At 51.5% G+C, this 27,123-nt stretch overlaps 1 protein-coding gene and 1 long non-coding RNA gene across 5 annotated transcripts in view, besides 12 other annotated features; one reads left to right on the top strand and one right to left on the bottom strand.

Annotated features, from left to right (window-relative positions):
• The window catches only part of IGSF21 (immunoglobin superfamily member 21), a 270,686-nt gene that overhangs the window by 168,654 nt on the left and 74,909 nt on the right, over nucleotides 1-27,123 (top strand). For 3 of the 4 annotated variants that reach the window (NM_032880.5, XM_011542319.4, XM_017002604.3), the window contains exon 3: nucleotides 15,415-15,536. In NM_032880.5, the coding sequence (NP_116269.3) occupies nucleotides 15,415-15,536 (122 nt within the window). Of the gene's footprint in view, nucleotides 1-2,404; nucleotides 2,434-15,414; nucleotides 15,537-27,123 lie in introns of those variants that run through there. The other variant, XM_017002605.1, reaches the window with a different exon arrangement.
• Nucleotides 3,922-4,436: an enhancer, noted in NCBI's record as "H3K4me1 hESC enhancer chr1:18606867-18607381 (GRCh37/hg19 assembly coordinates)". NCBI's record gives its function as "activates a minimal SCP1, AML or CMV promoter by ChIP-STARR-seq in naive H9 embryonic stem cells {active_cell/tissue: H9 hESC(naive)}" and the evidence as "EXISTENCE:reporter gene assay evidence [ECO:0000049][PMID:30033119]".
• Nucleotides 4,437-4,950: an enhancer, noted in NCBI's record as "H3K4me1 hESC enhancer chr1:18607382-18607895 (GRCh37/hg19 assembly coordinates)". NCBI's record gives its function as "activates a minimal SCP1, AML or CMV promoter by ChIP-STARR-seq in naive H9 embryonic stem cells {active_cell/tissue: H9 hESC(naive)}" and the evidence as "EXISTENCE:reporter gene assay evidence [ECO:0000049][PMID:30033119]".
• Nucleotides 6,285-6,931: an enhancer, noted in NCBI's record as "H3K4me1 hESC enhancer chr1:18609230-18609876 (GRCh37/hg19 assembly coordinates)". NCBI's record gives its function as "activates a minimal SCP1, AML or CMV promoter by ChIP-STARR-seq in primed H9 embryonic stem cells {active_cell/tissue: H9 hESC(primed)}" and the evidence as "EXISTENCE:reporter gene assay evidence [ECO:0000049][PMID:30033119]".
• Nucleotides 6,285-7,839: a biological region, named in NCBI's record as "MED14-independent group 3 enhancer GRCh37_chr1:18609585-18610784".
• Nucleotides 6,520-6,639: an enhancer, noted in NCBI's record as "active region_281". NCBI's record gives its function as "activates an Ori minimal core promoter by ATAC-STARR-seq in GM12878 lymphoblastoid cells {active_cell/tissue: GM12878}" and the evidence as "EXISTENCE:reporter gene assay evidence [ECO:0000049][PMID:35858748]".
• Nucleotides 6,640-7,839: an enhancer, noted in NCBI's record as "MED14-independent group 3 enhancer chr1:18609585-18610784 (GRCh37/hg19 assembly coordinates)". NCBI's record gives its function as "activates an origin of replication core promoter dependent on BRD2, BRD4, P300/CBP and CDK7 cofactors, and independent of MED14, by STARR-seq in HCT116 cells {active_cell/tissue: HCT116}" and the evidence as "EXISTENCE:reporter gene assay evidence [ECO:0000049][PMID:35650434]".
• Nucleotides 6,932-7,578: an enhancer, noted in NCBI's record as "H3K4me1 hESC enhancer chr1:18609877-18610523 (GRCh37/hg19 assembly coordinates)". NCBI's record gives its function as "activates a minimal SCP1, AML or CMV promoter by ChIP-STARR-seq in primed H9 embryonic stem cells {active_cell/tissue: H9 hESC(primed)}" and the evidence as "EXISTENCE:reporter gene assay evidence [ECO:0000049][PMID:30033119]".
• Nucleotides 7,531-7,731: a silencer, noted in NCBI's record as "peak94 fragment used in MPRA reporter construct". NCBI's record gives its function as "represses an SCP1 promoter by STARR-seq MPRAs in K562 erythroleukemia cells {active_cell/tissue: K562}" and the evidence as "EXISTENCE:reporter gene assay evidence [ECO:0000049][PMID:32103011]".
• On the bottom strand, nucleotides 12,657-21,880 carry LOC124903863 (uncharacterized). The gene is made up of 2 exons (XR_007065516.1): nucleotides 14,604-21,880; nucleotides 12,657-13,079 (listed from the first exon to the last, which is right to left on the bottom strand). It is a non-coding gene; the product is annotated as an uncharacterized LOC124903863 (long non-coding RNA).
• Nucleotides 17,291-18,178: an enhancer, noted in NCBI's record as "H3K27ac-H3K4me1 hESC enhancer chr1:18620236-18621123 (GRCh37/hg19 assembly coordinates)". NCBI's record gives its function as "activates a minimal SCP1, AML or CMV promoter by ChIP-STARR-seq in primed H9 embryonic stem cells {active_cell/tissue: H9 hESC(primed)}" and the evidence as "EXISTENCE:reporter gene assay evidence [ECO:0000049][PMID:30033119]".
• Nucleotides 19,954-20,840: an enhancer, noted in NCBI's record as "H3K27ac hESC enhancer chr1:18622899-18623785 (GRCh37/hg19 assembly coordinates)". NCBI's record gives its function as "activates a minimal SCP1, AML or CMV promoter by ChIP-STARR-seq in naive and primed H9 embryonic stem cells {active_cell/tissue: H9 hESC(naive and primed)}" and the evidence as "EXISTENCE:reporter gene assay evidence [ECO:0000049][PMID:30033119]".
• Nucleotides 21,134-21,659: an enhancer, noted in NCBI's record as "NANOG-H3K27ac-H3K4me1 hESC enhancer chr1:18624079-18624604 (GRCh37/hg19 assembly coordinates)". NCBI's record gives its function as "activates a minimal SCP1, AML or CMV promoter by ChIP-STARR-seq in primed H9 embryonic stem cells {active_cell/tissue: H9 hESC(primed)}" and the evidence as "EXISTENCE:reporter gene assay evidence [ECO:0000049][PMID:30033119]".
• Nucleotides 23,664-24,291: an enhancer, noted in NCBI's record as "H3K27ac-H3K4me1 hESC enhancer chr1:18626609-18627236 (GRCh37/hg19 assembly coordinates)". NCBI's record gives its function as "activates a minimal SCP1, AML or CMV promoter by ChIP-STARR-seq in primed H9 embryonic stem cells {active_cell/tissue: H9 hESC(primed)}" and the evidence as "EXISTENCE:reporter gene assay evidence [ECO:0000049][PMID:30033119]".

The raw sequence follows: 27,123 nt of genomic DNA on the forward strand, positions 1-27,123 counted from the left end.
CCTAAGGCTTGGGCTTGGAGATTGGCACACGTCTGCCACGTCCGCCAATTCTATTGGTCAAAGCAGTCTCCAAACATGTCTAGTTTCAAAGGGAGAGATCGTAGACCCCCCGACCCCCGCCATCTCTAATGCAGGAATCTCAAAGAATATGTGCCATCTTTCATCTACCACACATTCCTTCCTCTCATTATCATCACCTTCTTCATTTGCTGAGAGCTGGGGTCACAAGCCATTGTCTGGGGCCAAATTTGTCCTGCAGATTGTGTTAATTTGATCTACACTGGGGTTTCTGTTTTTAATTAGATGACTTGGACCTGCATAGACTCCCTGTCTCAACACTGGTCCCACCCTTCCCGCTGCCTGCCAGGGGCTCTCTCCTTGGCTCCTGGGGCCATCGTTTGGTGGTCCTGGACTAACAGGTGCATGGGACCAGTCAGATGGGCCACACACAAGGACACTCATACATACAAATTATCAGAACTTTTATATAACTCATCTCTCCCAGCCCAATTTCTGGAAATAAATGCTGGTTCAACAAATGTGTAGACCTTTTCTGAAGTCTCCAAGATGGTGTTGGGGAAAGAGACAGGACTGAGAGACCCAGGGGCCTGTGTTCTTGTCACCGTACTGCCTGGTGGCCTTGAATAGATCGCCTGGCCTCCCTGGGCTGTTGCTTCTGCATTGTGCAGAACAAAGAAAAGATGTCACCCCTGCATCGTGCAGGACAAAGGCTGGGGTCACCCCAAGTTTGAGGCCCAGCTCCTGCCTCTTGTCTCAGGCCGATCACTCCATCACTCTGGCCTCGGTTGCCTCCTTTGAAGATTGGGGCCATAACGTGAATCCCGTGGGGTGGTTGCAAGGATGAAATACAGTGCCAGGCACGGAGCACTTGGTCCTGACAGGCCCTCCTGTACACTCTGATGCTCTGTGCCTGCGTGGGGCCTTCAGAGGCCAAACTCCCCCGCCCTAGCTGAGACTCACTCACCTCTGTGTCTAGCACAGGGGCTGACACATAGTAGGTGCTCAGGGAACCCTTGTTGGATTGGACTGACCCTTTGTCAAACAAAGCAGTAGCAAGAGAAATGAAAACGTGACTTTTTTTAAAAAAAAGAAAACTTGTGCAAGAATGTTCTTAGCAGCTTGAAGCATAGCAGAGCCCAACTGGAAACTGTCCAGGTGCCTTTTAACAAAAGAACAGCTTAACAAACATAGCGTCTCCTTGACATGGAATACTACTCAGTGATTAAAAGGAATAAACCATGGTACACACACAGCAGGGGTGGATCTAAAAAATATTATGCTGGGAGAAAAGAGCCTTCCCTGGAATCTACGTACCGTATAATTCGTTGATACGAAATTCTAGAACAGGATAAAATGTGACAAACAGATTAGAATAACGATCATCTCTCGGGTGAGGTTTGGCTGGGAAGGAGCGGAGGGAATTTTCTGGAGTAATGGTAGTGTTCTGCATCCTGAGAAGGGCTCAGCTTACACTGGTGCACGCATTTGCCAAAACTCAAAAAGAACCCTGAGTGGTACTCTTGAGATTTGTGCAATTCATTGTGTGTAAATTTGACCTCAAAAGAAAAGGAATTGTAAATAAATATTGAACTCTAAATAGAAGGTTTAGGAGTAAACTGTACAGGTGTCTGCAGCTCACTTTGGAAGGCATCGAATAAATAAGGCTGTGTGGCTGCATCGAGAGGGATGAATGGAGGGTGGGGGGAGATATGATAAAGCAAACATGGCTGCATTCATTTATTTATTTATTTATTTATTTATTTATTTATTTATTTATTTTATTTTGAGACAGAGTCTCACTCTGTTGCCCAGGCTGGAGGGCAGTGGCGCGATCTCAGCTCACTGCAACCTCTGACTCCCAGGTTCAAGCAATTCTCATGCCTCAGCCTCCTGAGTAGCTGGGATTACAGGCGCCCCCCCAACACACCTGGCTAATGTTTGTATTTTTAGTAGAGATGGGGTTTCACCATGTTAACCAGGCTGGTCTCGAACTCCTAACCTTAAGTGATCTGCCTGCCTCGGCCTCCCAAAGTGCTGGGATTACAGGTGTAAGGTTTTTTTTGTTTGTTTGTTTGTTTGTTTGTTTGTTTGTTTGTTTTGAGACAGGGTCTTGTCCTGTCACCCAGGCTGGAGTACAGTGGCGAGATCTTGGCTTATTACAGCCTCAACTTCCTGGGCTCAGGAAATCCTTCCACTGCAGCCTCCTGAGTAGCTGGGACTACAGGCACATACCACCATGCCTGGCTAATTTTCTGATATTTTTTGTAGAGATGGGGTTTCACCATGTTGCCCAGGCTGATCTCAAACTCCTTCGCTCAAGCAATCTGCCTGCCTCGGCCTCCAAAAGTGCTGGGATTACAGGCACGAGCCACTGCACCCAGCCCATGTTCACATTTTAATTGTGGAAGCCAGGTAATGGGTATATGGGTGTTTGCCTTAAAGATTTTTACACTTTCCTGCATGTTGGGAAATGTTCGTAATCAAATGTTGGGGGAAGAAAACATGAAGCTATAGAACTAAGCTAGGGCTTGTCTCTGAGCCTCATCTGTCAAATGCAGACAGCACTACCCAGACGGGCAACCCTGGGATCAAACGAGAAGCAGTGAATAAAGAGGAGCCCATGGGGACGTGGCAGGAAGCAACTTGATTCTTCTAAGCAAGCGGGGCCCCACCTCCTCATTTGGATCTCAGCTTACATGTGACCTTCTGAGGCTGCCCTCCCCTGGCCACCCATCTCTTGTAGCCATCACCCTATGTTAATGTCTGCATGGCAATTCTCTCTAGCTGATACATCTCTTCCATCTTCCTTAATTTAAGGTATATGGCTCCTGACAGTAGAATGTGGATTCTAGGAGAAGAGGGACATTGTCTAATTCATGGCAATATCTCTGGCACATAGTGGGGACACAGTAACTCTTTGTGGAATGAAGGAAGCAATGAGTAGGGCCTGCATATGCTCTATCGTAACCCCTCAAGTGTAGAATTCTGCCACCCAGAATTTGCCTAGTGTTAACGCCACCCCCATAGAACAGCAGGAAGAGAACTTAGCAATCAGCCATCCCCTGGGCCCCATTTAACAGATGGGGGAGCCAAGGCCCAGAGAGGGAATGCAAATTTCCCAGCATCCGCTACCAGTGAGTGGCTGAGCAGAGATGGGGCCCAGGTCTTCTAGCTCCCAGCTCAGTGTTCTTCCTCTCCAACTGGCTGCTGGAGCTCGTGGTAAAGTGCTGATTCCCAGGAACAGCCGGCAGATGGACAGACAGGCTTCACTGGGCTGGGCTGCCCTGATGCCATGTGTTAATTACAGCAGACAGGATATGCCAGCCTAGCAATGTTTGCCGGTGCACCCGCCCCTCGTTTAGCAGGTGGGCAGGCTGGCGCAGGCCACTGATCTGCCACGGGTCTGCCGGCGGCCGATCATGCTGACACAGGCCCAATTGTGCACAGCGCCTGCTAAGTGGGGTGGGCCAGGCAGATTGGCACAGCAAGGGCCCTCTCCGAGGACTGGCAGCCCCTTCTGACTGCATTGGTCAGCCAGACTGGTACAAGCTGGGCATCTGTCCCATGATGAGCCCTTGCTGGACACAACCTGTCTACACAGGTGTGCCCACTGACCGGCAGCCCGGGGGGTGACACGGGGACTGAGTGCTGAGCATGACCATGGGGAGACCTTGTAGGGGGTGTCACAGGCAGGGGATGTGGGCCAGAACCTCACACACAGGTACACAGATACTGGGATCAGATAGGACTCTGCCATGCTCCCGCCCCCCACACCTGCCCTGTTGACTGGTGGGATCCAAAAATCAAGTTTGCAGCCCTGAAAGAGGGGCTGGAAAAGTGGTCTCTTCTCTCCAACCCAATGCCTCTTCCCAATTGCCACTAGTTCTACTGTTCACACTGCAGCCAGGGGGATTTCTCTGATACCAATGGAGCTGATCACTCTCCTGTTTGAAGCCTTCAATGGCTCTCCATTTCCCTCCAATAAAATAATAGTAATAATAATATGCATTATTAGCATTTTACAGCTAACAGCACTCAGTTATAGCATGTGTACTATGTGAAAGACACCTTCTAAGCACTTTATAGGGAAGAACCCGATTCATCCTCCACCCTAGATGGTGGTGCTATTGCTATCCTCATTTTACAGGTAAGGAGACTGAGACAGGGAGATAGGAGATCTCAAATTGACTTGAACCTAGAGGTCTGACTCCAGAGCCTAACCACTACCAAACCCAGACTCCACATGTGTGAGCCATGACCCTCCCACACCAGGCCCTTCTACACAGCACCCCCAGAACTTGTCCTGAACCCCCCTCACTCTCTACCCAAGCCTTGCCTTCTTGTTGATGCCTGGGGACCCCCATGATCTCCTCCTGTCTGCCCCGAAGGCTCTGCTTCAACCTCCAAAGCAGGGCTCAGGGTCCCCTTCTGGGCAGGGCCTGCCCTGGACCCTCCCTGGCAGAGCTCCCCGGCCTGCACGCCAGTGCCATTTCCACTCCATGTCAGCAGCCTGCTGCTGAGCGAGCACCTGCTGCTAATGTTTCTCTCCTGACCCCAACCTCCACCTCACCCATTCTGTGAACTCCCTGATGACCCCTCTGTCCACAGGCCTGGCCTGCAGGAGGTGTTTATGAATGAAGAAATGAACGAATGAATGAATGAATGAATGAACAGGCAAGTGAATGAATGAATGAACAGGTGAGTGAATGAATGAATGAATGAACAGGTGAGTGAAAGAATGGGAAGCTGAGGTCACTGGGGTTACAGGAATGCACACCGAGGGTGTGTAGTGAAGAGTGGCTTTCTGCCGGGCATGGTGGCTCATGCCTGTAATCCCAACACTTTGGGAGGCGAGGTGGGTGCATCACCCTGAGGTCAGGAGTTCGAGACCAGCCTGGCCAACATAGTGAAACCCTGAGGTCTCTACTAAAAAAAATATAAAAACTAGCCAGTCGTGGTGGTGGGCACCTGTAATCCCAGCTACTCTGGAGGTTGAGGCAGGAGAATTGCTTGAACTCAGGAGACGGAGGTTGCAGTGAGCTGACATGGTGCCGCTGCACTCCAGCCTCAGCAACAGAGTGAGACTCTGTCTCAAAAAAAAAAAAAAAAAGAGTGGCTGTCATGGAGACACAGGTGGCTGAATAAGTCCCTCCTCCTTCCTCCTCAGCCCACTCCTTCCAGAACACAAGAGGGGAGGGCATTTGTTAAACTGGGAAAGAGCCCCCGAGCCCCTCTCTTTAGGGGCAAGCCATGTGACCCTGAACCCTGTCTCTAATGCTGGGATTTTCCAAGAGCATACTTGTCGGGAGGCAGGGAGGAGGCAGCGAGGAGCTGGACATGATCACCTGGTCTGGAGGAGGGACCTGAGTATCTCAGGTGCTGCAGCTGTTCAGCCCTCGGTGAACCTGTGCTTTTAGGGTCTGGATTCCAAGCATCTGGATTTGGGGGTGTGGTGGAAAGAGGGTGTGCTTCGGAGCAAAGAGCCTGGCTCCCAGCTCTGCGGACTCCTCCCTCTGTGACCCTGGGCATGCCCCTCCCCTCTTTGGGCCTTGGCTTTGCCTTGTGTAAAATGAGAGCCCTAAATGGGACAGTCAAGGGCGCTCCTGCTCTGAATGACCTCCTAGGGCACCAAGGGTCCAGCAGTTGATGGCCCCCTGGGAAAGCTGCAAAGAGACCCTGGTGAGGAGTGGGCCTGGGGGTTCCGGACTGTGTATCCGGTTGTGGTTCCTGACCCCTGTGTCCAAATGACCTGATGACGCTTGTTAAAAATGCAGAATAAGGACTGCATTCAGAAGTCACTGAGTTGGAACCTCCAGGATGGGCTTCCGGGGAAACTGACATTTTCAAACCCCACCCCCACTCTGGCCCAGGTGATTCCACTGTGCACTGAAGTTCGAATGTCTGGCATCTATCTGAGGCCCTTTCTATTTCCCCTGCTTCCTGTCTGCTAGCCCCTAAAGCATGAAGCGGGAGCGGGGTGCTGCATGGGAGGTGGAGAAGGAGGTCTCAGAGCTCCCATGCATGTGTCTGATAGAGTTTGGGGGGCTCAGGTGTTTGGGTCGTGACTGTGGGCTTTGTATTCGACTGGTGGGTGCCTATCTGGGCATGGGAAATGGCAAGGGAGATACAACCTTACATTTGCCAAAAACTCATCCCCTTACATACACACACACACACACACACACACACACACACACACAAACACACACCCTTTCCCGGAGTGAGGAGCAGGGTATATAATTGCACTTACAGCTGTGGGTGCAGGCATTGTGCATGCACAACACCGTAAGTCCACAAACTGACACGCAGCCCTGAAAATGCCTGCATACACTCTCTTACACTCCCTGTGAGACCTCCTGGTCTTCCCTGTGCTAACATCTAAAACTACGCATGAACATTCTCATTATTACTTTGCCTTTCACACACATGTACAGCCTCGTAGGCAGCCTGGAAACACACCTATTTGTACAGTCATCCCTACGGATGCACAGATGCACACCCATACTCCGTTGAACACAGGCTTCCTTGTTCACAGCAGGCTCACCCACGCAGGATGGGGTCCCAGCTCACACCAGTGGCACACACCTCCTCACACTTGCAGGAGCACCTGCCCACATGTGGAGTGTGGGTCCTACAAAGAAGCTGCAGCCGCTCTCCTCCCTGCCACTCTCCCCCCAGCCCCCAGGCCCATCTCTGAGCTGCTGTCTGCCATCGCACGGTAACCGGATGAGACAGGCAATTTATGACACCAGCTGTCTCTGTCAAAACCGGATCTCCCACACACACCAGGGGAAGCCAATTACCTTGAGCCCAGCCCTGCCAGAAACCGGGGCCCACAAGGGAGAGCAGGGACTGCCCAGAGAGGTGAGTGGCACCTGACATGAGGATTTTCTGCCTCTTCTTGTCTTTGGGCATCTGGTATCCTCTTCCCCCAGGCCCCCTTGGGGAGGACAGAGCCTGCCCTACCCTCTCTGAGGCTGCTTCTCTGGCCCAGCTCCCAGGCCTAGGAACTGCAAGAGCGGTTTCAGGGTGGAGAACAGGTGGGCAGGGAGGTTTAGGGGAAGAGTGGTCCAGGGTCGTTATGGCAACAAGAAAGGGAAGAACCCTGTGCCCCTCCCCCTACACAGCAGGCGGCCAGGCGGCTGAATCATTCTCCCAGGCTTCCTCTCCGCCTTCATTCCCCTCACCTCTTCCCTCAACACCCCTGCCCTGGTTTTCCTCTCCCTAGAATACCTACTCCCTTTCTTGCCCCCCTGCCCGAAACTAAAGCCAACTCTACTACCTGAGCCACTTCCTGTCTGGACTTTGGAATCAGACCCATGTTCAAAGCTCTCCATTTCACCACCTCCTAACTGGGAATCAGGGCAAATGGCATCCCTTCTCTGGCCATGGGTTTTGCATCCAAAAGAAAAAATGATGTTCATTCCTATAAAAAAAAATGTTGAAAAGGAGTCTTCTAAGTACCAGACTCCGTTCTATAATCGGGGATGCAACATTGAACAAAATGAAGTCCCACCCTGGGCTTCAGGCTCCACTGCAGGAGTCGGAAACCACACGTTTCAGAAATTTAGAAGAGATGAGTCAGTTTTCTCACTGTCCTCATCTGCTTTGTTTACAGCCATACTCCCAGCACCAAGCACAGCTCCTGAAAGGACCTCAAGCAATAGACAAACTCACAAAGGCACCAGTGGACTCAAGCTCTAGCCTGAGGTTGACTTGGTCTAGTGCCATCTTTGTGCCCAGCCTTGCAGGGCGCTTTCTAGGCATACTTTCTGAGTGGGTGGGATGGCGGCAGATCTGCTTAAGTGAACAGGAAGTCCGTTCCTTCCTTCACTGACTCATTGGTTCATTCCACAAATGCACATTGAGCATGTACTACGTGCCGGTTCCCATGCTAGGCTCCTGGGATCAAGTGAGATGGGCAAGGACTCCCACTTGATAGTTGCATGGCAGAAGTTTCTAGATTTGCTCATCACCTCCCACAGTCTAGAAGCTGAGCAATAAATTCACACTAACAGCAGTGTCCACTTGCCTTTGCATTTTGCAAGATGCTTTTACATATGTTTGTTTCTTTTAGTATTTCTCACAACTCTGGGGTGTGAGTTTGTTTAATATCCCTCGCGTTACAGATGAGGAAACTGAGGCTTAGAAACAATCAGTGACTTGCCTGAGAACCCAGAGCCAGGGAGTGAAGCACCCACAGTAAAACTGAGTCCCTTTCTAGCCCTCATTGTCTCTTGCATTATCTAATTTAATGCCCTTTTCCCCTAACTACCATGAAAGGCAGGTATCGCCTTAGGCTGTTTACAGCCAGGGAGCACCTCTTGCCTGGGCTGGGATTGGAAGCTGTGCTGGGCTGACACAAGATCCCAGGTGCCATCCACTCCTCTATATCTAATCAGTTCATTAAAACCCTCCTTGCAAACACTCTCTCGGCTGCCTGGACACAGAGACCTCAGCTGCTCCATTTCCAGGAGAGCAAATTCCTTCCTGGCTGGAGAGGAGTTGGGATAATGTAGACAGGCAATTTAAACAGCCGGCAAAATACACCAGCAGTTTTCACTCTCTGCCACTATTACACTTTCCAGCCGTGGCGGGATTGGCCCATAAGTGGGATATCAAGTTTATTACAGCTATTTCCAACCTGTAATTGGTTTTGTGGAAAACAAAGAGAAGGAGGTTGGGAAGGTGGGGGGAGGTGATATTTTCCCCTTTTCTTTTTTTTTTTTTTCTTTTTCGGATGACAGCACCCAGGGACATTGGTGAGGCAGCCGAAGTTGGAGACTTATTTGTTTTTCAAATTAAACAGCCAGGCCGGTCAGCGGGCTCTCACACTGCTGGCTGGACTAAGTCCACCGGCCACGCTTTGATGACTCTACTTGAAAAGCAACCTGGCCTGGCTGCAGCCTAGATTTGCTGGTTGGGGTCAGGGGGCAGTCAGGGCCCAGAGGTGGGGTCTGGCAGCTCTGGAGCATGAGAAACTGTGGTCTCTAGGCTGACTCTTCTAGAATCAGAACACTGCGGGCATTCAGGGCAGCAAAGAGTCCTCAGTTTCCTCATGGAACATTTAGGGAAACTGGGTCCCAGAGAGAGGAACAGTGCAGAGACAACCTTTGGGACTTAGAACCTAGCTCTCTGCCTCTCAGAAACTTCTACACAGTGTAGCTGGTCATTTGGGGGAATTCCTGGCTGAGATGCTCTCAGCATGGGGAAGAAAAGAGACACCTGTTCTTAAGAACCCATGTTACGGTCTGCTGCCATCATTGCAGTCCACCCACCCTGACCAACCTCCCTACTTCGGACTTAAGAAAAATACGCAATAGCTAATATGATGGAGCACTTTCTGTTACGATGACAGGAGGTGATGTTTGCAAGCAATATCTGGCACAGGGTAGGCGCCAATGTATGCCAGCTATTGTTATTCCCGTCATGCTATTATTACCGCATGCCAAGCAATCCCCTGGGCTCTCTGTGTGTTCACTCTTACGCACTGAATTCTCACACGTGTGCCTTACAGGGAGGCATGATCCTTCCCGTTTTGCAGATGAGGAAACAGGCACACAGAACCCTCCAACCTCACCCAGCAATCAACTGAGTGGCAGAGCTGGGATCTGATTCCAGAGCTGTGTGACCCCAAAAGCCTCTGCACATTTCCCATATCCCCAACCTCAAAGTAGGTCTTCTGCTCCCTTCTTTTGGACTCATCCATGCTGAGCGGTCAGCTCTGCTGTTTACTATTACAAGTATAATACATGTGTGACCTTGGGCAGTTCACTTGCCTCTTTCTTGGCCGTGGTTCCTGTCTGCAAATGGGGATCATGACACACGTCTCTTGGTATAGTTCACTTATTCAACATCCCTTCGTATGCCAGGCACTGTGCTAGGCTCTGGGATACAGGGCTCTTGGAGCTTACAGTCCTGAGATTCCAAGGAACAATGGAAGGGAGGGCTGGGGGACACTCAGCCTGTGTAGGCACTGGTTAGGATGCAGATTCTTTTGCATAACTACGTGCACAGCCTCTTCTGTCTGGTCCAGGTGTACGCTTTGCAGAGTTAGGATGTTTTCCTGCACAGAATATCATTAATGCTGGGAGCTTTAAGAAAGAGAAAGCCTGCTGGTTCCTTTTGGAGCCTCACATCGGAGGTGGTCTGAGGCCACTGTCCCGCCTGGGCCAGGCTACTCTTACCAGGGAGTCCCAGACAGATCAGGGTCCAGGCACAGCAGGCTGTCCTGGGGCCAGTCTGTATCGCAGAGCAGCAAGGGCCTTTTCCCTTTTCTTCATGGTATTCCCAGTGCCTGGCACATGGTAAGGTCTCAACTCATTCATTCACTCATTGACTCATCCAGCAGATATTTATCGAGCGAGTGCCATTTGCTAAATTCTGGAAACAGAGCAATGGACAGGACAGATAAAGACCCCATCTTCGGCCAGGCACAGTGGCTCACGCCTGTAATCCCAGCACTTTGGGAGGCCGAGGCGGGCGGATCACGAGGTCAGGAGATCGAGACCATCCCGGCTAAAACGGTGAAACCCCGTCTCTACTAAAAATACAAAAAATTAGCCGGGCGTAGTGGCGGGCACCTGTAGTCCCAGCTACTTGGGAGGCTGAGGCAGGAGAATGGCGTGAACCCGGGAGGCGGAGCTTGCAGTGAGCCGAGATCGCGCCACTGCACTCCAGCCTGGGCGACAGAGCGAGACTCCGTCTCAAAAAAAAAAAATAAAATAAATAAATAAATAAAAATAAATAAAAATAAAAATAAAAATACAAAAAATTAGCTAGGCGTGGTGGCAGGTGCCTGTAGTCTCAACTACTTGGGAGGCTGAGGCAGGAGAATGGTGTGAACCTGGGAGGCGGAGCTTGCAGTGAGCTGAGATCGTGCCACTACACTCCAGGTTGGTGACAGAGCGAGACTCTGTCTCAAACAAACAAACAAACAAACAAAACAAAAAAAAAATCCACCCATCCTCATAGAGCTTATGTTCTAGGAGTAGCTCATATTCAAGGACCTGTGTGTTTGTTCATCAAAAGTCTGTTGAATATGGAGTGAATGAAATCATTCATTTCAGAAGTGCCTCTCGCTCTGGGGCCAGGCAAACCCACACATCCACAGGGCTTGGCTTACCTTGTCTGCCTTGTCACCTCTGTGGTTGTCGGTCGGCCCTGGCCTCGTGGTCCCTACCCACTGGCACCATGGGAGCCTCTCAGAGCCCATGAGACCTGCCTGCCTCCAGGTACTCACTCAGGGCATCCCTGCACTTTGTTTTGAAGCTGCTACGATGACTACTAGCAAATTCTCGGTCCCTGCTCTCTGCACCCCACTCCTTATAGACACAACCCAGCCTTCTGGCACCTTCCACCTGCCTCCCTCTCTGGGTGTGGGCTCCCTTCTTTCATTTACTGAATTCCACATCCTCTGGCATTTTAGCAAGAGATGCTTTGCTCTCCAGCCCCATAGACAGAAAGAGCCCTGGAGGGTGGGGAGGGACACAGAAAAACAGATGGTCCAGAAAGGTGTGAGTGCTCGTGAAAATACCCCATGAGTGAGCACTTCCCACCCACCAGGGACTCTACAAGGCTCATGTAATCCTCATAGGGAGGAACGTTGCCTTATCCCCATTTCACAGATGAGGAAACTGAGACTAGGGGAGGTGGAATGACTTCTTCAGAGCACAAAATTAGGAACCGAAATCAAACATTCAACTGGGGATGGAGGAAATCAGCCTTGCTTCATGCTCCAAAGCCTCCCATAGACAGAAAGAGCCAGCCTAGGACCAAGCACTCCCTGAAAAGGGCCTACTTCCTCCAGGAAGCCTTCCATGATCACCCTTCCCTCCAAGGGGATTCTTGGCTCCTTCAGAAGTGTCAGAACATCATTGGATAACACTTGGTAATTACCTGTTGCTGCTGCAGCCATCATCTTACTGACTCTGGAACCTCAGCTAATTGTGGACTGTGTACCTCTTGTGAATAAGGTCGTAATGGGCTGCAACCATGTCTGAAATGTATTTCCTTCTCGGCCGTGAGGCTGCAACTGCCCCTGTATGTCTCAGGCGTGGAGAAATGTTTCTAGAATTAAAGGCGAGGTGTCTTCCAGCACACCCACCACACCTTCTGTCCACAGCCTGTACTAATAATCCCCAACTCCCACCTGGCCTCTTTCTTGGGCCCTCTAACCACCAGGAACCACAGAATAACATCCTTGCAAATAGCTGCTAGCCCGCTGGCCCCACCTGAGCGTGTCTGAGCCTCCCATTTCCTTTGCCTTCCGAGAGGCTGAGGGAGGAAGGAGTGTGTACCACAGACAGCTGGGACAGTGGGGCCTGCCCTCCAGATCCCTCACCCTGCAGCTGAGATAAGCACTTGTCTCCAGCTGCCTGAAGCAGGTTTCACAGAAGCAGTTATTTACTCCTCTGGCTGACAGTGAGGCCCTGACACAGCCCCAGAGAAACAGATGTAAATAAAACCAAAGGAAAACTAGTCTCGTCCTTGAAACTCCCCTGTCCCTCAGCCTGAAACAGAGATTTACGACTCGGATAATTCTTCAGTGCTTTATCTGGGGTGTGTGGGTATGTGTGTGGATGTGTGGGGTGTGGGTGTATTTTCCTCGTAATAAAACCCTCAGTCTCGGCGAATAAATTTGAGGAGACAGTTTTACTGACAGATTTTTTTCTCTTTTGTGTAATAAAAAAAATGGAGTGAAATTTGAGATTGGGACGATAAGGGCTGCCGCATTTTAGGAGGAGATAAAAAAGCAGTACCTGAAGGGAGGTGAGGCCAGAAGACGGGCTGCCAGTTAAACAGGCAGGATGCCTTCCGCTTTATGACTTTGGGAGAAAAATCCTCACACCTCCACTGAGATTCTGACATCCTTTCTCCTAATGAGCCTGGCCACCAGGGGTGGAAAGGGACGTTGAGAGGCATTCAGTTCACCCGCAGTCTCTTCCAGCCTGATGGGATGGGATGTGAACTCTGGTCCAGAAGCCAGACGCTTGTCAGGAACCTAGTGTGGGGCCTCAGCCGAATCATTTTGCCTCTCCAAGCCTCAGTTTCTTTACCTGCAAAATGGGAACATTCTTGTCTATTCGGCTCTGTTCCCAGGGACCTGGTACAGCCACACAATGTGATGGGCTTAAAACTGGGTTTCTCCACCTGGGCACTGTTGACATTTGGGGGCCAGATAATTCTTGGGAGGGGGGCAAGGGGCTGTCCTGGACATAGTGGAATGGTCAGCAGCTTCCTAGCCTCTATCAGCTAGACACTGGTACCTACCAAACCGCACCTCTCCTCCCCAGTTGTGACAACCAAAAATGTCTCCTGAGCTTGCTGTATGTCCCCTGGTGGTTAGGGTGAGCAAAATCACCCCCCAAGTGAAAAGGCCCTGCTTTAAAGGTACTTTGGTGGCTGTAAAAAAGTCAAATGGGTGAGGCGGGGATGGGAAGAGGGTGCATGGAGAATGGGGAGCCCCTGGAGGGTCTTGGCCTCTACCCCAGGCTGGGACATTGGGATGTGGGGAGATGGAAGCTCTGATCCCAAGTACAGCCAACTCTCTTCTCCACCCCATGCCAAGCTGGACACAGTCAACTCAGGGACATTCTTCTGGGTGATGACAGTGGACGCAGAGTCAAGGTGTGGTTGGTTGGGGTGAGCATCTTTCTTGGGGTGAGTGCCAGCAGGGATCCCAAGAGGAGAGGAGAATCCTCCTGTCCCCGTCCTCCTCATCTTCCTCCACTCTCATGGTCCCGTTTCAGAAGCTGGGCCTGTGCTGCAGAAGCAGCCAGGTGGGAGGAAGTGGTCCTCTGTCTCCCCTCTGCACATGGTCAGAAAGCGCCAAGCCCTCAGAGGGGAAGAAAGTGACGCGTGTACATGTCGCTAAGTCCCGACAGAGATAGGAGGGGTGTGGGCTTACGGAGGGGTAAGGAGAAGCCGTGCCCTGGGAAGTCTCACTGCCGCTTCCTCTCAGGGTCCCAGAGCCTGCGAAGGCCTTCTCATGATTCTAACCATCCCCCGTCCTCACAGAGGCCACCTTACTCTTTACAAAGCTTGCAGGCTATGGAAAGTGACTGGCACAGACGTAGCCTGTGTCTGCACACAGCTGGTTGCTCAACCAGTGCTGGCCAGATGCACGGAGTCTCTCCTAAACCAGTAGCAACACCACCTAGGTCAGAGAGATGTGGTCCAAGTCAGCTTGGGTACATATGTGTCCAGAGGAGCCCAGCTGTGTCTAGGGCCAGTACTCCCAGGCAGGTGACAGGGGGACAGATTCACACTCCAATCCTCACCTTTTTGCCTGGGGAAGCTGCTTTCAGCATCCCCCCTACCCCAGCCCCTTGGAGTCACCCGTCCCTAGCCAGCCCCCTCCCTGCCCCTTTCCCCGCTGCCTCCACCACACAGAGCCGCAGGGAGCTAATTCCACTTCTCTAGGCCCAGGCATGAGGCCTCCCCATTGCAGGCTGTTAGCGCAGAGCCCAGCTGAGCTGCGAGAGGCTGCAAGCTCCCAGTCTATAATAGAGTTGCTGAGACAAGCGGAAAAACTGCAGCCGAGTAAACAGATAAATAATTGAAACAGTGACAACACATACCTTGCTGCTTCGTGGAGTAACACTTTCATTAGCTGGAGGCAGCGCAGATGTGGGGAAGCAGGCGGGCGGCAGCTGAGGGCACGGACGCTTGGGTTCGCTTTCCATCAGCCATGAACAGCGGGACAGCCCGGCAGCCTTGGGCTTCCAGCGCTGGCTTCATCGCCACCTCCCTGCCTTCTCCCACTTCCGCATTCTTAGGTGAAATGGGGACTTCATGTCCTCTCTCCTGGCCCATCCCAAGACGAGGGCAAGTGCCCCACGCTGTCCCCGTCTGCATCGCCCGTGCCGGGATGTTGGATTCCTGGCCTCCTCCCGGGCTCCCTGCCTCTAGTCTTGCCCCTTTCGATTCATCCTCAATCTATAGCCAGAGGAGCTTGTAAATCTAATCTAATCCTGGCCCCGGGGACCACCGCCTTCAGGAGAAGCTGAGCTCCTTTGCTGTGGAGACCCTCCATGATCTGGCCCACATTTTTCTTCGCAGCCTCTTCTCATCCCACTTCCTTTCTTCTCCAGGTGCTGTGAAGGCAGCAAGCTTCCCCTGAGCGCACACTGCTCTTTCCTGCCGCAGGGCCTTTGCTGTTCCCTTTGCCTAGAAAACTCCCACCCGTTGCCAGGCTGGCTCCTACTCTTCCTTCAGGAGGCAACTTAAAACATCGCTGCCTCCAGGAAGCCCTCGGTTATTACCTTATTCTCAGGATGGGGGCTGTCCTTCTTCTGGGCTTCCTGCCTGCATCTTGTCAGTGTCCTGGGGAAAGGGGTGACCAGGGCCGGTTGAGCACTCACGTGTGGCTATCTCTGTGCTCTGTGGCAGGTGACGGATGGTGGCACCATCAAGCAAAAGATCTTCACCTTCGACGCCATGTTCTCCACCAACTACTCACACATGGAGAACTACCGCAAGCGAGAGGACCTGGTGTACCAGTCCACTGTGAGGTGAGTGCCTGGGGGTGGCGGGCCGACAGCGGGGGAAGGGCGGAGGGATGGGGAGTGGGGCAGAGGGCAGTTCTCCAGCCCTTTCACATCAATCCCTCGGTGCTCTTGGGCTTGGAAGGCAGAACTGGGGGCTCCCCTTATGGAAGTGGGACCCATTCCCTGGAGGGACATCCCCTGGAGGGAAGAGGCAGGAGAGGGCCAGGCCACCGCTCTTCTGACTGGCCTCCTCTGCCAGCTCCTCCAACAGTCCTGGAAGGTGGGTATTCCAAACTCCATTTATTTCCAAGTGAGATACTGAGGCCCAGAGAGGGGGAGCAATGGGCCTAAAGTCACACAGGCAACAATGACACCGCTGGGCGGTGAAGCAGTTCTGCCCGGCTTGGAAGCTCAAACACCACATTCTACTGTTTTTTGTGTGCTCCAAGGCCATAAGGGCCCCGAGCTTAAGAGAGAATGACCCCAAGCAACTGGACTCCCAGGTCAGAAGCAGCAGGGTGGGAAGGAGCAGTGCTCAAGTCGGAGATGCTTGATTTTCCTACCCCATCCCTGTTTTCCAGGAGGCGGGTGGCAGAATCAAGCTGACTCGATCTTCCAGAGCCTGCTGTTCTCTATGTGTGTGGCTCTATCTCCTTCCCACAAACTCCCTACAAGATCCTAGTCCTGTTTTATCCCTTTGACCCTTAACACACACCGGTCCCTCTTCTCAAAGGGCCTTTCTCCCTTCGGTCATCTGGTAAACTCCTCATCAGCCTTCAGAACCCCACTCCAGCAATTCCACCCATGGGAGCCCTCACCTTAGCTGAACTGATCCCCCAAAGCTGGTCGGCTGCAACTGCCCCAGTACCCACCCCTCCTCAGAGGGAATCTCACTGCATTCATGAAGAGTGCACAGCTTTGCACACACACACTCTTCCACGCCACACCGCCAAATGCTTTGCCAGGTGCCCAGCCTGAAAGTAGTGGTCTGCTCCAAAGCTGGAGGGGGACCGTGCTGCATCGGGTACCGTGAGGGGGACTGCAGCCCCGGCAAGCCCACATGATGTGCACTGTGGCACCATGCTATGTGGATGTCTCAGCTAGTGCCTGGTACTGTGTTGTCTTTAGACTGAGCCTGGAGGAGGGGGAAGCCGTACTCTCCAGCACGGGCTGTGGGTCTCTGTGACCGTGAGCTCCAGGAGGACAAGGCACATGCTCCTCCTTCACCTTGCATCCCCAGCTCTCAGCCCAGGGCCTGGCACACAGTGGGTACATAATGAAATTTGCAAAATGAGTGGACAACTCAGGCTACACTCCTCAGCCCTTCAGGCCTGTTTTCTATTGGGTGAAATTAGAAAGCGGGACAAGAAGATTGTAAAGGGTAAGTCCAACCCTGCATCAAGAATCTGACCCAGGCATCCTCCTCTGCCTGCTTTTGTAAAAATGGGAAGGTGAGTGTGCTCCCCAGGCGGCCCGGCTGGGTCCTCGTCCTCTCTGGGCTCTGTGCCAGGACCATGCTGAGAATGTGGACGTGAAGGTGTGTGAAGAGGTGTGTGAACAGCCGCACAAACTCCTTCATCCCCCTAGTTATGATTTCTCCTGAACCTGCTTCCAAAAAGAAATTATGGTGCCTTAAAATATTAAAGCACACCTAAAACAAGCCAGTTACAATCAAGATGAAAAAGGAGATAAAAATTCATTTTGGAGAAAATAGCTATTCTGGAAACCACAGATGGTTTTGTAGTAAGTGAACTCCCAAATAATCTCCACGACTCCCAGAAGCCTAATGCCACCCAGCCCACCCCTGCCGGTCACTGTGTCTCTGAGAATTCTTTCCTCACCAAGCCACCCGCTGCCACCAGCAAGGCCTCTAGGACTCCTTGGTTCTGATTTCTAGCTAAGAAAGAAACCCAGGGACCATCTAGAACATTCCTGAGCACCACCCTCTCCTGCTTCCTGGAGCCTCAAGGGCAAGCCCTGCTACCAGAAGACCCAGATGAAAATCCCAGCTCAGTCTCTGCCTACTGTATGACCTGGGATGAGAGCCTTAACCTCTCTCTCTCTCTGCTTCAGGTCCTTCGCCTGTAGAGCAGACTTGACATGACAGGCTTTGTACAATTGTGGAATTTCAGTGAAATTTATGTCCAACAGCCTGAGTTCAAATCCTGCCTCTTCCACATCCTGGCATTAGTGAAATCTGGGGCTGGTAACCCCACAGTTGAGTTTCCTGACCTCCAAAGTAACATGACAGCACTAAGAGGCTAGCTGCAAGTTGTGAGGAGCTGATGGCGTGCATTCAAGTGAAGTGCTGGTTTCCGGCCTCTAAGTGGTACATGTTTGCTGCCATTGCCTAGAACAACCTCTCCTTCTCCCACCATAAAACAAAACAAAAAAAATTCACCTTTTTACAAATCTCATAAAGCCTCCTTTTATGCGCTTTCTGTTTTGATCTGCACAAACAACCCCATGAATGCAGGCAGGTATTATTATTATTAATCATTTTCTCTAGCCCTGTTCTTACTACAGAAGAGGTCAAAGTTCAGCAGGCCCAACAGTCTCCCTCTGGAATGACATGAACTTGACCAGACCCCTTGCTTTTCAGTTGTGGAAGCCAAGGCCCAGAGAGGGAATGAGGCTTGCCTGAGGTCACACAGCGGCCCTGACTTAAGCCTGATATCAGGAGCCAGTGCTCTTTTCTTCCCCACATGGGGGCCAATCTCCCTGAGCCTCAGTAACAGGGGCGGTCTCCCAAGCAAAGAACACCCCAGGGAGCTGAGCCGTCCTGTTTGGTGACCACCAAGGGAGAGGGAAGGAAGGAGCAGACCCTCTGGAGCCTAACGGGATCACGGAGGATTGTCAGCCCTCCCAACCAGCCATGCTGGGGGCGACTGCCTCTTCAGGCTGCAGAGCCCCATCAGGGCTGGCGACGGGGCGCGGGACTCCGCATTTACATATAAATGAAGATATTTACAAATTAATGCATCTCAACGAGAGAGAGTCCCAGCTCCACAGCTGTCTGAGCCGTTTCCTCTTCAGCTGGGGAAAGTAGGGAGAGAATGAGACTGAGAAGATTACCAAGAATTGGCTGAGAGCAATTTCGCGGGTAGCCTAGAGGAGCCCCAAGGACTCCTGGAGCTTTTTGTCCCACTGATGGGGCCCTGGAGGGATGGAAGTCGGGTGGATCATCAGGACTTCTGCCCCCAGGGGGTGCAGGTGTGTATCCCTGGTTGTATGACCTTGGACAGATCACTGCCTCTCTGGATAGAGCGTCCCAGAGGCACATCTATCAAATGCTTTTCTAGGTCTTAGCCCCAGAGCCCAGAACTCCCAGGTTGGAATTGACAAGAATGTATTCCCTCCAAGGCTATTTAGTTGAGCACCTACTAGGACCTTGGCTTGGTGGAAGGTGCCCAGGGATACAGGGGGAATGAGAAAAGCACGGCTTTGCAATCTAGTCGGAGAGACATGGCAAAATGTAGATGAATACATCATTCCACATTCTGCAAAGAAGTGATTCTAAACCATGGGCGTGTAATGAAGGGGCAAGTGGGGTGCAGTACCGGGAAGGAATGAGATGCTGGGTGCCATTTAGATGGGTGGTCAGGCAGGGCCATCGAGGAAGGTGGCACTTGGGTGGAGAACTGAGGGCAGGAAGGAGCCCTCTGTGAAAGGGAGGAGGCAGATGTGGCCGACAGTTATCCCACCCTGCCCACTTCCTCTTACCCCTCGCTCTTCCTGGCAGTGCCAGCATCCTTGGTGCTTCCACAGGGCTTTCTCAGGGCACTGGAGACCACTCAGCCTGCACATGAGAAAGGTGAGAAGTGCCGGGGAGTTGACGCCACCCCGGGAGCAGCCTTGACCAATGACTGTTTATTGGGTGCATACCCAGCCCCCTCGTCCCTCCAGGGGGACAGTTCAGATGCATGCTCAGGAGGACAAAGTACAAGCTCCTCCTTCACCTCGTATGCCCAGCTCTCAGCCCAGGGCCTGGCACACAGTGGGTGCATAATGAAATGTGCAAAATGAGCGGGCAGTTCTGGGTATGCTCCTTGGCCCCTTGGGGGTGTTTCCTAATAGGTAAAATTAGAAAATGGGATAAGAAGGGGGGACATTGAGAAACTATGGGATGAATGCTGTCAACTCTCTCCCGGAGTTTCTCAGTGACCCCCCAGAATAACCTTGAGAAGGCACCCGTATTGGCTTCCTTCCCTTCTAGCTCATTCCATCAGCTTCCTGGGACCCCTTCTCACATAAACCCTTTCCTCCTAAATCCTTGTTTCAAGGTCTACTCTTCATTCCACCCTTCTAGGTTCTTGGCTGGGTCCCCGGTAGCAAAAGACGAATTCACAAGACAAAAGGATACAAGTCTAGTTTGTATACGTTTTAGGTGATGCAGGAGATTTTATAAGGAAATGAAGACCCACAGAAGTGGTTCTAGCTGAGTGTTTTTTGCTGGGTTGGATGAAGGGTGGGGAGTCATGGGAAAGTGTGAAGGATAGAAGGACCTGAGCTAAGGGCAGTAAACTGGGGACACTCAGCAGGGTGGCTTGTTCAGATCCCTTGGAAGTGAAGATGCTGCCTTCCTCCAGGTACAGAGAGGGAACCTCTCACGTGAAGGTCTTGTGACCTGCTTCAGGGAAAGGTCAGAGAGTCCTTCCTGCGCCTGCCATTTCTCAAATTCCATCTGCTTAAAATATTCAATATACCAAGGTGCCAAATTTGAGGTGGCGTGTCCTGAACCCCCTCCCCATGGAATGTGGCCATTCCAGAGGGCAGCTGTGACCTCCTTGGAGGTCCAAGTGAATCACAGTGAGGCTTCAACCACTCCGCCCACACACATGCTGTGTCTTCCATTTCCTGAAGCACCCTGAGGCCCTTGTCCCATTCGATCTGCTCAGGAAGCGATGAGGAACACTGGACAGATTTCACTGGCCTTAATTCACTGGTGCAGGGAATCTAGATTCGAGGGGCTCAGTGTATTCCTGCCCCCGACCTGCTATTGCAGATCCCTCCAACACCTTGGCCAATGCTCTTTGCCAACAAGGTCCTACTTGTCCTTTCAAGTTCAGCTTAAAGGTTGCTTCCTACAGGAAGTCAGCCCCAACTGCTCAAGCTCACCGACTGATGCTATGTCTTCAGAGTCTGCCCGCCCCCCCACTAGACTGGAAGCCCCATGAGGACAGGGACTAGGTCTGATGTTTTCACCACCATCCTCTCCCCAACCCCCAGGACAGCACCCAACCCTGGGCATGTGGTAGATGATTTGTAAATATCTGTGGGGTGAATGAGTTCGTGGTGAACATGGTGGTGGAGTCCTTTCAATGCAACACTTGCTGCTGGGGTGGATGAACAAGACACCTTAGGAAAGGAACATCCAGGCCCCCGTTCCTTCCCCCAACACTCACATCATTCATTCATCACAAAGGAATTGAGTAGTTACCATATATCAGGGACAATGATGGAGATAAAGTGGTGAACAAGACATAATCAGACCTGCTTTCGGGAGGTTTCTGATCTAGTGGGTGAGGAGAGACACACTACAAAAATGCCTTTAAAATAATAAGGAAAAACAGTTACAGTGTGTGATGAGTGTGGTGAAGGGAATAAGGTACAACTGTCCCTCAGGATCCATGAGGGATTGGTTCCAGGACACCCCCAAGCAGATACCACAATCCTAGGATTCTCAAGTCCCACATATAAAATGGCACAGCATCTGCACATCACCCACGCACATCCACCTGGATCCTTTAAAGCATCTCTAGATTACTTATAATACTTACTATCATGTAAATGCTAGGTAAATCATTGTTATACTATATTTTTATTTGTATTATTTATATTGTTGCATTATTATTTTTTTTCTCTGAATATTTTTGGTCCACGGTTGGTTGGATCTGCAGATTCTGAACCCATGGATCCGGAAGGCCAACTGAAATGTGATAGAGAGGGGTGAGAATAATGGAGTGAGGGCATTGCACAGCTCCTCATAGGAGATACCTGGAATGTATCTCCAGGAATCTGGAGACATCTGAGCACAGATCTGTAGTATAAGAAGCCAGCCAGGCAAGGTTGGGGCTTGGGAGGGCACTCCAGGTAGACGACATGGCAAGTGCAAAGGTCCTGGGGTGAGAAAGAGCTTGGTGTGATCTGGGAGCTGACAGAGGGCCATTGCCACCAGAGCACAGTGAATGGGGAGGTCAGCTGACGTTCACTCTCTGTGCCCTAGAAGCTGCTGAAGGGTATGGCATGCTCTGATATGCGGTTTGTCAAGCTCACCTTAGTTCCTGGGTAGAGAGGGTGGGTTGGAAGTGCCAGGGAACGAAGACAAAGCCGTCCACAGAGGAGCCTGGAATCTGACTTCCAGGTATAAAGTATTCAATATACCAAGGTGCCGTATTTGAGGTAGCGTGTCCTGAAGCCCCTCCCCATGGAATGTGGCCATCCCAGAGGGCAGCTGTGACTTCCTTGGAGGTCCGGGTGAATCACAGCGAGGCTTCAACCACTCCTCCCACACACATGCTGTGTCTTCCATTTCCTGAAGCATCCTGAAAGCCACAGGTGGTGGGGAACAGCTGGGCGGGGCAGGGTGGACCTGGGGGCCATGTAGAGAAAGCCAATGCTGGGCTGCACCTTTTGATGTATGTTTATCAGGAGGGAGACTCGGGAGAGCTGGAGTAAATGAAAAAAAGAGGCTGAGAATGCAGGGCGCTGGAAGAAATGCCACTTCCTTTATTACTCTGAGGTGCATCGGTTCACATGTACACTCAACAGTGCACAATAAGCGTTGGCTGCATTTGAGGCACATAGCTACGGTGCACAAAAGTGGCTAAAATCAGCCCCTGCCTCTTCGGAGCTTACAGCCTGTTCCTCTCCCTTCACGCCCGTTGGCCTATAAGCTCCTCCAAGGCTCAGCTATATCTTCTTCATCTCAGTAACCCCAGGACCTACTTGGCATTTAGAAAGGAACAATAAATATTTGTGGAATGAAAAGAGAGAAAGGGGAGATAAAACACGAGATAAATAGCTAACAATTCAAGTAATAAAGTGATCGCTGTCATAGAGAAGATTCAGATATAATACAATGATGAATCAGAGATGCAGAGACTGGGGAAATCAGGGTGATGCTGGCATTTGAAGTGGTTCTAGAGGCATCAGTGGGTTTTAGACAAAGAGGAGCTGGGAGCTGATTCTCTGGTCAGAGGGCCCCATGTGTGCAAAGGCATGGCAAGAGGAAATTGACCAAGTAGTGGCAAGACCACTCTATGGGCAGACAATGGCTTCTAAGCGGAAGCTCTCTGGAATCTGTTCAAATGAAAAAAATAAGGGATTGATTTTTAAATAGGCACATTAACTGTTTGGTTCAAAGAGCAGAGGGGTTTGTTTCCCTTTGAAAAGTTAAATGATCCTTCTACAATCTATTCATGTGGAGACCAAACTCTTTTTTTACAGTTGATACAAAGAAAAGTGCCATCTGACCCTCGTTGATTTCAAAGTCTGAATTCTCCAGCTCCCTTCTCCCTCTGTATATTTTCATGAAGCATACGTCTTCTTTCTCTAAAATATACCTAACAGGTGCTGCTTGCCACATGAAGTGGTCATTCATTTATTGATTCTTTTGACCACTCAGCAAACACACGTTGTTGTTGCCAGGCACTCAGCAACAACAAACACAGGCCCTGCCCTTATGAAACTAACTCTCCAAGAATACGCTCAGTTCCTGACCTGCTGGAAACCCGTTCCTCTCTCTCCCACCCAGAGTTCATCCAGGAGTGTGAATGAGAGAGAGTGGAATTGTTTATTTTATTGTTTTTAACAGATTATGCCTCTTAGCATTAGAATTGAAAGCCCCTGGCTTTCCACCCCAAGTGGGAACCTGGTCCCCCTCTCAAAATCAGGGGTGATTTTAGAAGACAGGGTTGCAGGTCTCCTCCCAGCCACTAGGGGGATGCTCAGCAGCCTTCAGCAGCCTTAAATTTCCCATCAACTGGCCAGTGGCTCATGCCTGTAATCTAGCACCTTGGGAGGCTGAGGTGGGAGGATCACTTGAGCTCAGGAGTTCAAAACCACACTGGGCAAAATAGTGAGACTTCTTCTCTAGAATAATAAATAAATATAAAATTACATATCAACTGAGCAACAAGCCACCCACTGGTGGTGTCTATACCACAGGCCAGCTCACTGACTGCCTGCATCAGGATCACCTTGGAAGTTGCTTTAAAATACCAATTGCTGAGCTCCACCAAGACAGAATTTGATTCAAGCCCAGAGCAAGACCTGGGGAACCTGGAATTCATTTGCTAAAAAGTCTTCCAGGTTAAGATATGGGCAGTGAGATTTGGAAAGCCCGCTTCACACAATCCCATCCACCTGCTCGGATGTGCACACTGGGGTCAAAGAATTCAATGGCCGGCACCAAGGCATAGATAATTCTAATTGTTGCTGGTCCCTATCTGCCAACAGGTGGTTATTCTAAGGCCCCTAAAGCCAGACCACTTTTAATTGAAGATGATGAAATAGCCAGGCCAGCCAGTGACCTAAGAGTCCATTCCCTGAGGCCAGAGTGAACTCACAGGCACCAGCCAGCCCTGGAGCTTGAGCTGCCCGCATACCTGGGCTGCCAGTCATTAGCAAAGCAATAATAGCTGGCATGTGTGGTGCACTCATTGGCCAGACCCTGGGCTAAACTCCTCAGGAAGTGAGGCCTTGCCTGCAGGCCAAAGGGAAGGCCAGGAGCAAGATGCTCTTTCTGTAGCTCCCTGGCCATGACACTCTCCCCAGAGATAGAGTGTGCGCATGCTTTCCAGCTAGAAGTTCCACTGGACCCAATCCCAGGCCTCCTACCCCCAGAGCTCTAATTAGGAAAGGGGGGCCCCCCTTTGTCAGGTCCCAGAGCAACGCTCCGCTCAGACTGCAGGAATCTGCTCTCAGCCTTCCTCCCTGGTTCTCATCTCTCTGACTAGGACCCTCCCTTCTTCATCTCTGGGTCCTCCATGCTCAGCCCAGCTCCTGGGATAGATGCCCAGGGCCTCCGTAAAGATTTGTCGAATCAATGGGCTGAAGGGTTGTATTCCAATGTGGAATTATCATTTCAAACAGTTAGCAAAACTCTTTCCCAACCCATCATCTGGTTTAACCTGTGGAGCACAGATCTCAGACTCATTGAATCCTGTTATTCAGATGCTGACATGGAAGAACGAGAGGAATGGTCACTTGTCCAAGGTCAAGCAGGTCGTGCAGTGGGAAGCCTGGGTTAACGCCCAAGCTGTGGCACTCCATGGGCCATTGGAGCCAGGTCCACTTGTGGGGCCCCTGGGCCATGGAGCATGGTGAGCAGGTCATCCAACAAATGGTAATTGTTTTGTTTGTTTGTTTGTTTGTTTGTTTGTTTGTTTTTGAGACACAGTCTTGCTCTGTCGCCCAGGCTGGAGTGCACTGGCACGATCTCAGCTCGCTGCAACCTCTGCCTCCCAGGTTTAAGAGATTCTCCTGCCTCAGCCTCCCGAGTAGCTGGGATTACAGGCACCCACCACCACACCTGGCCAATTTTTTGTATTTTTAGCAGAGACAGGGTTTCACCATGTTGGTCAAGCTGATCTCGAACTCCTGACCTCAAGTGATGCACCCGCCTTGGCCTCCAAAGTGCTGGGATTACAGGCATGAGCCACTGTGCCCAGCCCCAACAAACAGTAATTGATGCCCACCCTGTGCCAGGTCACTTAGTAGGGGAGACTGACACGTGAGCTTGTCTCTCCACCCCTACACACATGTGCGTGTGTACACAGAGGATCTACCCAGGATGCTTGGTCCCTCCAAGTAGAAAGTTGCCAGGATCAGTCATCACCTTAAAAAGAGCCACAGCTTGGCAGTCCCAGGCCCCTGGATGCCACAGCCAGGGAGAGCAAGTGATGCCTACTCTTGGCTCTGGGAGAGGGACCTGGGAAGCCAGTGCCCTGCATTTTCTCTGCTCTCTTGGCTGGTAGCATCAATTCCATTGACTAGAGGAGAAATCTGTTTAACCTAATGTGTTTCAAATGCTCCGCCTCAGTCCCCATGGAGCTGGGCACACTCCCCTGCTCCCCATCTTCCCCTGCCCCTGGCACCTTCTCACTGCCTCCCCCATACCGGCATTGACCTCTCAGGTTCCCACTTCTTCTCTCCTTCTTCAGGGGCTGCCTGGCCTTCTCTGCCTTTTCAAAGCCCAAAGGTGCTCCAGGCCCAAGCTCCAATGCTCAGCTTGACGCAGCAGCCCTCCCCAACCCTCTCCCCAGTGGCAGAATTGAACCTGCCTGCTGTGCCCAGGGAGCGCCCCATGCATTCCACTTTAGCCTTCTCCTGCTGGCTCCCACCTGTCCACTCGCATGTCTACTGTCTCCACCAAGGCCATGAGCAGCCCAGACAGGGCAGGGCTGATTCTTCTCCATGGCTCCTACCTCATGCATAGGAGCAAGCTCCACAGAGGACCGGCACCATCTCCCTAACTCTCTCCACCTCCTGTTACTGAAGGTGGACACTCTTCTCCTCTTGTTCCTTGACTTTCAGTCTTTGATTTTCCTTTTTAGAATGATATTCTTCTCTTCTTTCTCTCCCCCCTTTCCAAGAGCCCACTTCCTATTGCGGTGCCCTTTTCCTGCCATCCTGTGCACACAGGCTTGCACGGTGTTTTCATTCCCTCTCTCCCCATGCATTCTTGCATCTCTTGGCTAGGAGTCCCTCTGTGGTCCTCAAATCTCCCCTGCAACACAGACTCCAGATCTTGATGCCCCAGAGGCCCCTGGAACTTCAAGGAGGCTCCCGTTTCCAATTTAGAAGGAGGGTCAGGGGTATTTCTCCTTGGTTGGGTCTTGGGTTAGTGAAGACATTTGAGGCAGGGAATTGAGATGATCCCTGTTGCATCCACAGCTGCCACTGAGTTCTCTACCTACCTTCCCCCACTCTCTATTTGACCTTGGACCCACAAGGAGGCCACTGGAACTCCCAGAACACACCCTTCTGACACCAGCCTAGCTCCCCAGGGAGGGAAGCACTTGCAAAGCTGTCTGCTGCCCTCTGGTGATGCACTAGGGTATGGCAACTTGGGGGCTGGGGGTCGGATTTGGTGGGGGGCGTCTTGCCTGGGGCCCCCAACCACCAAGGATGGGTCTTGTTTCTCAAGGCTAGGGACCCTCCCTTATTCATCTCTAGGTTCTCAGTGCCCAGCAACGGGTCTCAGGAAAGGCTCGTTAAATTAATGGGCTGTCAGGTTATCCAAATATGGAATTATGATTTCAGCAAAACTCTTCCCCACCCATTGTTTGATCAAACCCTAGCAACCATCCTGTGCAGTGCAGATCTCAGACTCTATTTAGGGGGCTCAGGTGCAGCCCAGAGAAGAGAAGCGACTTGCACAAGAGCTGAGAGCTCCCCGTTAAGGCAGAATTTTCCTCCCCCGGCAGCCTCCCCAGCTGAGGAGGCTGAGCCCTATGCTCATGGAATAGGGTGGGGGCACTGGGGTCACCTGTTCCCACCTCTGGGTAGTGGCTTGCCTTGATCAGGGGCCTTCCAGAGACAGCATCTTCACCCAGAATCAGCCATCAGGAATTGTAGCCCAGTGCCAGGAAGCACCCTGGGGGGA

This window comes from Homo sapiens, chromosome 1 (assembly GCF_000001405.40).
Source record: "Homo sapiens chromosome 1, GRCh38.p14 Primary Assembly".
Classification (NCBI taxonomy): domain Eukaryota; kingdom Metazoa; phylum Chordata; class Mammalia; order Primates; family Hominidae; genus Homo; species Homo sapiens.